Source organism: Homo sapiens, chromosome 1 (genome assembly GCF_000001405.40).
Source record: "Homo sapiens chromosome 1, GRCh38.p14 Primary Assembly".
NCBI classification, from domain to species: Eukaryota; Metazoa; Chordata; class Mammalia; order Primates; family Hominidae; genus Homo; species Homo sapiens.
In genome coordinates this window covers 165,440,574-165,450,869 of record NC_000001.11, presented here as the reverse complement: position 1 = coordinate 165,450,869, position 10,296 = coordinate 165,440,574, and the positions used below count along the sequence as shown (strand labels likewise).

At 43.2% G+C, this 10,296-nt stretch overlaps 1 protein-coding gene across 3 annotated transcripts in view; it reads left to right on the top strand.

The window, feature by feature from the left end:
* RXRG (retinoid X receptor gamma) overlaps positions 5,744 to 10,296 on the top strand; it is a 44,205-nt gene continuing 39,652 nt past the window's right edge. For all 3 annotated transcript variants that reach the window (NR_033824.2, NM_006917.5, NM_001256570.2), the window contains exon 1: positions 5,744 to 6,025. Coding sequence is in view for 1 of the 3 variants with exons in the window: in NM_006917.5 (NP_008848.1) it covers positions 5,977 to 6,025 (49 nt within the window). In the remaining 2 variants the exon portion in view is untranslated. The remainder of the gene's footprint in view (positions 6,026 to 10,296) is intronic.

Below are 10,296 nucleotides of genomic sequence, written 5' to 3'. Positions count from 1 at the left end.
GGTGAGGCAAAGCCAGGAAGGATGGTTTTCTGGCAGCACAGAGCCCAAAGTTGACATGGGCATGTCAAGCAAAAAATCATAGGTGAGACAATGAAACAGCGGAACTCACTGCAGGCGGGGCAGGGGATAAGAATGTTCAGAGCTCCCATGTTAGATGGCCAGACCATGGTTAGACCTCCCATGTTAGATGGTTCAGATCTCCCATGTTAGATGGCCCGACTGTGTCAGATGGCTCATGTTAGATGGCCAGACCACCTCACATGGGAGATCTGAACATTCTTACCCCCCAGCTTCTCGGATGCACTGACTTCAGTCCCTCCTCAGGGCTGTTAGACCTATTGTTCTCTCTTTCTGGTCCACCCTCTCCTCATCCTCCTGCTTTCTTCCCCAGATTGGATCCTACTCAGCCTTTAGATCTGAGTGTAACTGCCATTTTCTCAAAGAAGTCTGCTCTGACCTCCCAATTTAAATGAGATTTCCCTGCTATAGTCTTTCATCTCATCCAATTATTTTCCTTCATAGTTCTTATCATGGTTTATGCTGGTATATATTTGTCTACGAATATTTGTTTAATATTCATCTCCTCTATTGGGATGCATAAGGGACTATATCTATCTTTCCCCTTAGTATATTCCTGCTGGTTGTCAGATAATAAGCTCTCAGTAAGTGCTAGCTGAATGATAAGTGAATAAGTGATTAACAGCAACGAGAAAAAAAAAAAAAACTATGTATAGAGAAACCCCATCCGCAGTAACACAAACATAGATAGGAAACATATCACTAATGAGAGAAGGATTGTGATTTCACGAAAGACACATTTACTAGACAGCAGAGTTGGGGACCTGGCTTTTACACCCATTTCTTTCACTACCTAGTTGTGAGACCAGATCCAAAACCCAATTTGTTAGAGTAACTGTCTTTCATTCTCTGATTTCATAGTCTTAATCTCAAATTGCCCATTTGTAAAACTGGGGTAACAAAGCCTGCCCTATTTAAGTCTAGTATTGGGGATAGCACATGGAAACTTAATGTACTATTATGTAGGTAAGGTATTATAAAAATATAAAAATATTAATACATAATATTAGTATGGAGATATTTGCATCTAAATTCTATAGCTAAAGTTTATTGGCCATTGTCAAATGAATGAGTTTGGTTTTTCATTTGTATTTGCTGCAAAATACTATTTTATATCACCACGGGTCAAAAGAGAAAAAAAGAGCAGACGTAAAGCTATATCCTTTGATTACCAGGGTGAATATTAGATATTATTGGCCGAATTTGTGTCAAACAGCCAAACATACTAGTCAAAATCCATGCTCTTTCCACTTATTCAAAGGCACTAATGGCTTTAGTAAAAGTAGAACATATTATTTAAGAGGACTAGTTAACTAGCCTTGACAAGAAGTAGGCCAAGAATTCTTGTGAATGAATTAGCTAATTCCTACTGTAGACTTTGAGCATTTGGTCTTTCACTTGACATCCTAATGAGAATTCAGTAACAGCTGGAGACACAGTTGTGACTGAAGTCAGTGGAGCTGTTTGGGAAGGGCTTATGTTAGAAATACCAGCCACTTAGGATAACGTTGTTATACCAATAATGGTCTTAGGGAAGACACAATGGTGCCAAGAAAAAAAAAAGTGGGTTAAAAAGAAAAAACCACATTCATATTTGTTGATCTTTAGGCAGAGCTTATGGTTTGTTATGGGGTATTAAGCCATATGGAAGGTATCATAAGAAAAGCATACTGGGGTACCGTTTGGTATATTGTTTTTGATGTATTTGACTATGTCAAGCATTTTTGATACAGAAATATTTGTTGAGCACCTACTGTGTGTTTTAGCACTTAGGTGAGAAAACAAAGAGACATAATACATTATCACTATATTTGAAGAGTTAACAATCATGTTATGAAGATAAGACATATTCAAAGGAAAGATAAATAACCATTCCTTGCCATTTCACTGGGGATGCCACAAGGCCATACATACTAAGTGTCACCTGAACACACTGGACAATAAGTTTTATCAGACCTAGGTTAGGGAGACATCTTTTTGGATAAGTGTTTTCATGGTGGGAAATGAGCTGGAACTTGAATGATAGGTAAGAATTTTAGTGATGAGAAAAAGTAAATGGGCATGAACAATGAACTACGTGTTAGTCCTTTTAGTGTTGTTATAAAGAAATACCTGAGGCTGGGTAATTTATAGAGAGAAAAGGTTTAATTGGCTGACAGTTCTGCAAGCTGTTAAAAAAAAGCATGGTGTCAGTGTCTGTTCAGCTCCTGGTGAAGCCCATGAGGCTTTCAATCATGGTGGAAGGCAAAGGGAGAGCTGGTGTGTCACATGGTGAGAGAGGGGTCAAGAGAGTGGAGGGGGAGGTCCCAAACTCTTAAACAACCAGATCCCCTGAGAGCTAACTGAGCAAGAACTCACGCATCACCAAAAGGATGGCACTAAGACATTCATGAGGGATCCACCCCATGATCCAATACCTCCCACTAGGCTCCACCTCCACCATTAGGGATCACATTTCAACATGAGATTTGGAGAGGAAAAACATCCAAACTATATCAAACCGGAAGTTGGAATGAACATACCGTACCCCTACAGTGGGCAAAACAGCCAGATCAGAAGGAACTCTCAGAGAAAGGGAGGAAAGAAAATCAGGAAAATATTAATTCTTTGCATTTGTTTTACAAAGCCATTGTATAGAACTTCGCAGTGTAAAAATGAGCACGTGCCCAACTCTCAACACATCTGATCCACAAAATCAAAACTAAATCCAGAAACCTTAGTGAGGCTGGCAGCATGGATGTTTTTCCCAGAGAGTGTGTATCCCAAGCCTTGTGATTACTGCCCCAAAGCACTTTCCTCTACATAGAGCTCACATGATAGGCCGAGACACCCCACAAATGGTGAGCCTTTTCCATGCCAGGTTAGGATTTGGTTTTTCTTCTGTGAGGAAAAGAAATAGACAATGTACTGAACTTAGAAAAAGGTGAAGAAAGAGTCTATCTGTTGGTGGCTTAACCAACAGATCATCTTGACAATGACCTTGGACAAGTCTGTAGACTGTGATTTTTAAAGAATGGTTTTTGAGTACTTGAGTACTTGGAAAAACCCTTGAAACATGGGTTCACACACACACAAAAAAACAGTTTAAGTAACTCATTTCCTTCTCTGACATGCGTACAATAGAAAACTGTAGATTGTAAGACACTTGCTTCAGATACCACTATGGAGAAAATGGACAATTATGGAATGGGTGATGCATTAGTCTGCGTTCAGTTTTAAAGCTGAAGATGATATTGGAACCCATGTAGCTCTGCTCCATCATTTTACAAATGAGAAAAAGGAGAGGAGCCATAAAGTGACTTGCTTAAGGTTACATCCTCTTCCTCTTTGACCTCCTCCTCCTCCCCATCATTTGCCTCAAATTAGATTACATGTATCGAGCATTTAGTATTTATCTGGCGTATTTCAAGTGCTTAACATGTATTGACTCATTTAATCCTCATGGTAACCCTATAAGGTAACTGAGGCTCAGGGAGATTTACTCATTTGCCAGTATCATGAGGCTGTAAGCAGCGGAACAGGGATTTGTACCCAGCAATGTTGGCTTGTGAGTTGGTGAGTTGGTGCTTTTACTATACATATAGCCTTTCAAGGCCATATAACTAGTGAGTAGCAGAGCAAAGTGTCTAAGGCACTAATGAATGGACTTTTTAGTGATATAAGATGTTGTCTTTGCTATGTCTATGTCAACATTTTTATCAATGAGTCGAATAAGATATGAAAAAGCAGTTCATCAGATTTTCAGAAGTCATGAAATAAGGGTATGAATAAGAAATATTTTGGACAACAGAAGCAGGATCCTAAAAGATTTGGGATGATGAATGAAGCCAAAAAGTTTTAACTTCAGAGGAATATAGGAAGCATTTCATGTAGGTCCCAAAACCAATTGCCCAAGGATGGGATGAAGAATATGCATAAGAGAACACAACTTAGGGGAGGTAGGGGTGGGGAGATTTTTATCGAGTTAGTTCTACATGAATTAACATGCAGAGCTGCCCACCTAATGCAAGTGAGCAAATGGTCCTCCTGTATTCTATATTACTTATGTCCACTGGACTCTCATCCCAGCAACAGTCAAGGCAGCTCTGGGCTCTCCAAAGCTCTTTACAGTGAAGGCCTGGATATTTCTTCCTCCTTTGTGACATGCTTTTGCTTTGATTCCCCATTTTGGCCTCCTCCTTTGTCATCATGACTTTGTTCCTGACTCTGGTCTTTTATTCTACGTTTTTGTTTTGGCTTCTCCTAGCATTTGAATCTTGATTTTTTACTCTGGGACCCTGATTTGACTTACCTCTCTGGCTCTCTATGTCTTATGCTGCATCAGGAGAAAATCTCTTATCTTTTTTCCAGCCCAACAGAGCTCAGCCCATGAAACGGACCTTCAATGGGTATGTTGACAGCACCCCATCACCGTGCCAACACATATACCATGAGGAAAAGGTTTGGACCATATCTGGAGTATTGCATCCAAGTCTGGCCAACCCCCTTCCTCACTGTGAGGGTATCTATGTAAACTGAAGTACATTATTAGAAAAAGGATAGGTTGGGAATAGACATGAACCCTTGGTGATACATAGAATTACTGAAAGAGCCAGAGATGCCTAGGGAAAGGGGGATTATGGGCACAGCAGATCAATCTCAGGATTTGCAGAGGATCCCACTGTGAAAGACTTTTTTGTCTTTCAGGCTTCTCTTGTGTGGCCCCTGGGAGCAGTCTAGCACCTGTGGGCAGAAGCTGTAGGGAAAAGGAGCAGATTTTATCTCTATAAGAAACTTTCTTGTGGTGAAAACTATCTAGAAATGGAATGAGAAAGTGGTGAGCTCCCCATTATTGGAGGTGTTCAAGTATAGGCTGAGCGGTGACTTGTCACGAAAACTGTATGACAGACCCAAACATCAACGGGGTGCTTAGATTCTTTGATCTCGGGTCAGTTCCACACAAGACAGGCTCTGTGTTAGTGAGGACCCAGTGGTGTTTTTGAACAGGCGGCAGGATAACAATGGTATATAAAATAAATGCAGAGAAAGACCTCCACATCAAGCCAACCCCTCCTCCCTACCTGTAAGTTTTCCACCTGAGTGAGCTCTGGCTCCAGCTGCACTTGTCAAACTCCCATTGTTAGAGCACAGATAAATGCTTCCGGCCACCCAAGCAGGAGAGGCCCACCTCAACTTAAGGGCTACTCTATTTTAGTTTTCCGTAGCTGGAGATTGAGTATCACGCTTTTCTAATCTTGTGCTTCTGAAAGGGCCCTGTTCTCTCTTGAACCCCACCCCCTCCTCCTTTCACAGATCAAATACCAAGTACATTGGACAGATAGAAGTTCGAATGAGAAAATGCATTTTAATAAAATCCCATTGATTTTTGTGGATGTAAGTCAAGGAACAGGCACCTAAAGAGTCTTCCATCCCCTGCCGTCTCCCGCCTCTCTCCTGACCTACACCGGGCGGTCATACATCGATTGGCTTCCTAGATAATAGATCGTGCCACCCGGTAGGGACCTCTGGGGACGCGCCGGGAGCTGGAAGAGTCGCACGCAGCAGCCCAACCCTGAGTTAATCAAACTAGCAACAGGATCTCAAGCAGCAGCGACGGCGGTGGCAAGAGTAGCGGTGACGGCGGCGGCGGCGGCGGCGGCAGCATTATGCGTGATTACTGACAGGCACCAGCTGCTGCCGCCACAGCCGTCTCAAACGCACTATGTGGACTCTCCGATCTAGAGGCAGATTCCTGACTAATCCCAGAGGGCTGGCCCAGCCTGTGCTCCCCGGGCTGCTAGGAAGCGATGACCACTCTTGTTAGCCCAAGTTGAAGAAAGCCGGGCTGTGCCTGGGAGCCGAGAGAGGCGGTAATATTTAGAAGCTGCACAGGAGAGGAACATGAACTGACGAGTAAACATGTATGGAAATTATTCTCACTTCATGAAGTTTCCCGCAGGCTATGGAGGTAAGTATCTCCCTTGGGCTTCACTGCGTGGACCTGTATGAGAGACTGAGAAGAAATTGGGAAATACGAATGACTGGATTAGTATTGAATTAAAAGGAGAACATATATGTTTATATGCATATATAGTGTGTATATAGCGTTTCAGCGTGTGTGTGCACGCGTGCATGAGAGAGGAGAGGAGGAAAGAATGGTCTGTAGGTGAGGATACGTTTGCATATCAGAATGAGGATACGGGGATATTCTAAGGAGAGAGTAAACCAACATGCTTGAGAATGTGTCTGAGACAAAGATAGAATAAGAGCATTGTTATAACCCAGTGTGTTTGTGCGGGTGTGAAAAGTGGAAGAGTTAACGGGGAATTACTATGATGTTCCTATTAGCCAACTTGTAATGAGAAAAAATGTGATTAAAAAGGTTTTGCCTATCTTGAGGGTTCCTGGGATACTTTGTAACAAGGGCATGATTGTTTTACTCAAAAGCAGATTTCCCTTTAATTGGATTTTTAAAAAGAAAACATAGTGCTTTAATTTGCTACTGTGTTTTCCTTCCCCTGTTTTCTTTCCTTTGATTTGCTAATAGCCTCTTCTCTCCTCCCCTGCTGCTGCCCCCAATTCTACTGCAAGAGTTGCTGCAATCACTTCCACTCTGGGGGTAGAGATCTGGGGATGGGGGGTTGGGGCTCTTAGAGAATTGGCAAACTGAAGATTCAAGTCACCGTGCCAGGCAGGGCAGCCCAGTCACACTTCACAGAAGCTTCCGGAGACTAGGTCCTCAGGCTGCCTTAACGCCCAAGCACATCCGTCCCAAGGATCCCTTGATTTAGTGACAGAAACAGTACAGCCGCCCAGCTCTGAGTAAATGGAAGCAACAGCTGACCAACTGGCCTGTCGCTTGTCAGTTGGAGGCATGCAGCTTATGTTGCTGGGAGCCAAAGAAAGATTCTGGCAGGCAAGACAGCAGAAATTCTTATAAGGTTTTGAAAATTGAAAAGTCCCTGCTCTCCAGACTTCCTCCGTGGACCAATTCATCTGAAGGCTTGGGACTAAAGCTTGCCTAACTTGGCTGGGCAGAACCCCCTGGGAGGCATGGTGACACACTGCAAGGTAGAAGTGATCTCTGTCACCAGGAGGTGTTAGACCTGGGAGTTTGCACATTCATTCAGGGTAGTTTTTATGAGGCAGGCATGGTGTTGGGCACTGGGAATACAAATATGAATGAGACACAGTCTCTGCCCTTTGGGACTGGGGCAGGCTTGTTACACAGGCACATTATAATACTGCATGATGTGTGTAATAGCAAACGTAGGTTGTACTTGGACTTGGGGTGAGGGCCATGGAAATGTTCCCGAGGTGATGTTCAAGTTCTTTGGGCCAGTCTGATGACAGAGTGAGAGCGGTGGCCAATGCTGTGACCTGGGCATTTGATCTCTAGTCTATGGTTGGGCTCCAGATGTGAAAAGCCTCCTCAATTCCCACCTCAGTCCCATTCAGAGCTGAGAATTGCTTTTTCCTTTACATCTTAGTTCATTTGTAAGAGGTGCATGCTCATTTTCAGCCAGATTCGTGGGCCCCCCAAGGTCTGTGAGACTGTGGCTTCATTAATGCCAAAGAGACCCTTGGAGACAGTTGGGGTGAATAAAAGGGTTGAAGCTAGAAGGATTTAGGGAGAGAACTAAAGTAAGAGCCAGAGAAAGAAGATCTAGTTAAAATTCCATGGGGGCTGGAATCTTGGAATGTTAGCATCCTAAGGACCTGAAACAGCATCTTAGGCTCTCATCTTATAGATGTGTAAACTGAGGCTCAAAAGAAGGCAGGGACTAGTCCAAATTTATATGGGGCTGAGCTGCAGAACACTTCCAGAAAAGCCCTTACTCAAATTTATAATATTGTTGCTTTAATATAGTGAAAAGAGCACCAGGAGGAAGAGGAGGCAGGAAGAGGTAGTGTGCTGAGTTTGGTTCCCAATTTTTCACCTAGTAGCTGTGTGACCTTAGGCAAGCTAGTGAACCTCTCTGAGCCTTAGCACCTTTCTCTCTAAAATGGGATTTATAATCTCATCCTTAGAGTATTGTGAAAATTAAATGAGTTAGCATGTGAAAAACAGCTGCTATAGTGTTGTCCATATATTTGCTACCTAATACAATATTTTCTTCCCCTCTATTTTACTCAGAGACTAACATGCAAAATAGTTAAAAATCAGACATTATTGTAAAATAATAAATAAGGAATCTGGGAAAATAAAATTAAATCCACAAAGACCCTCATATTTTGCTGGCATAGATTTTCATAATTGTGGGGGCTCTGATATTTAGCGTAATTAGATTTCAGATAGAAGTAAACACAATGGTTCAGCTATGGAAGGAAATAGTTCAGTATAGTATAGGGAACTTGAGGGGAAAGGGTCATGTAGGTTGTCTACATGTCTCCTGTAAAGCTACTTTTCTTTGTCATTCTTGAGGGAGGAGAAGAATTATTTTGTTTAGTTCTGTTGAGGTTTTCCATTTTGTTGGCATGTGCCAGTTAAGAGGAGGCCTAAATGCTGAGCCAAAGGACTCTGCCCCCGTCTGCAGGGAGGTCTGTTTGAGAACTTTCTGTGATGAGGGAGAGGGACAGAGGACTCACAAGCAGGCACAGGGGAAAGCAGGATTAGAGTGGACGTCACCTTTGGCCTCTAACCTCCCCTGCCACAGTGCAGCAAGTTGCACGGCACTTATTAAAATACTTGGTGTATAACCCCCTGCCCTGTTACATATTAGCACATGGAATTACAGAGGGCCCCATGATTTGTATAAGAATCTCCAGGGAAGCAAAGTCACCTTTTGGAAATAACACCTGAGATTTGTGTCTGGGACCATGCTTACCAGATGTCAGAGCATCATCTGATCAGTGAGCAACAGATTGCTCAAACTGGCCAAAGTGTGGTGGCTACGTGGTGGCTCCACAAAGGTGCCCAATCTCCCAGCTTTGGGCCCTACCATGTAATGATGAGAGAAACCTTCTCTTCTCCTTCTCTGCCAAGTCCAGGGTTTGCCAGCTGCTCAGTAATAGGTTTGTTTTTCTGGGATGAGACAGTTGCTGCCTCTTAGAAGATGGCAAAACAAAGCCTGTAATCCCCCCCATCCAATTGTGCAGTAATCCTCAGGGTGAGAAGGAGATCAGGGAGAGAGAGGACTTCTCTCATTTCATTTAACAAACACACTGTAACACTAATGCTCGCTACTATTGTAAGCACTTTACCAGCCTCGGCTCATGTAATCCTCATAACAACCCTAGGAGTAGGTACTGTTACCATTGTTCTCGTACTCCTTTTAGAGACAAAGAAACAGAGGAATTGAGAGGTGAAATAACTTGCTTAAGGTCTTATAGCTAGAAAATGGCACAGCCAGGGATTGAACCCAGGCAGACTAGCTCCCAGAGTTCACACTGCTGAGCTGCCTCTCACAGCTTCTGTGAGTGACACAGTTGCTCTGCAAAGCCAGGGGCAGCAGCACACCCCCAGGGAGCTCCCGGTGCTCCAATACAACCTCAGATATGCAGCCTCAGCACTGACTGGTTGTTGCAGACCCAGTGGACTGGCCATTGAGGAATAAGCCATGGGATAGGTTAAGAGCAACGGTGATCTCTGCAGAATTAATTGGTGGCTTCCCTTGGGTACATACTTATTTGCAAGAGTCCTGTCCAACTGACCCTGACCATTCATGTAGAATAGTTGCTTTCACTTGAAAATAGCCATAGAGAAGGGGTTGAGTTGGACCTGCTTGTATGTGTGCGTGTGCACATGTGTGTATATGCTAGAACATATTTTTCCCCTCCACAGATATGTGGGTGGCTAATTGGAACCTATCATGGGCATAAGTGGTTAAGGTTTATGTGGAAAGGAGTAACTGTTTATGAGATTTAGGAAGGAACATATTTCGTATAAACTATTTTCTAAAACATTTACAATCTCACCAAGAGATAGAGAGCTGAATAGCAACTGGGGGAAGAAATTGTGCAAAGAGAATCTAAATGCCCCACCTCTTCCTTCCCCTCATTATGAAGCTTCTAGGTCTGCAGAGAACTTAGCCACCAGCATTGGATCGCGGGTGTGCCAGGGGCTCCCAGAGGAAGCTGGTGTTTTCTCCTCTTTTTAAAAGTAGAAGACACAGAGGCCCAGGGAATGAAGTTAATTTTCTAGAATGCATGGGCTTTGGTGGCTCTCATGAGATTGACTCAGCCCTGGCTCAGTGATCCTCAGAAAAAAGTGAAAATACAGGTTGAGTATCCCTAATC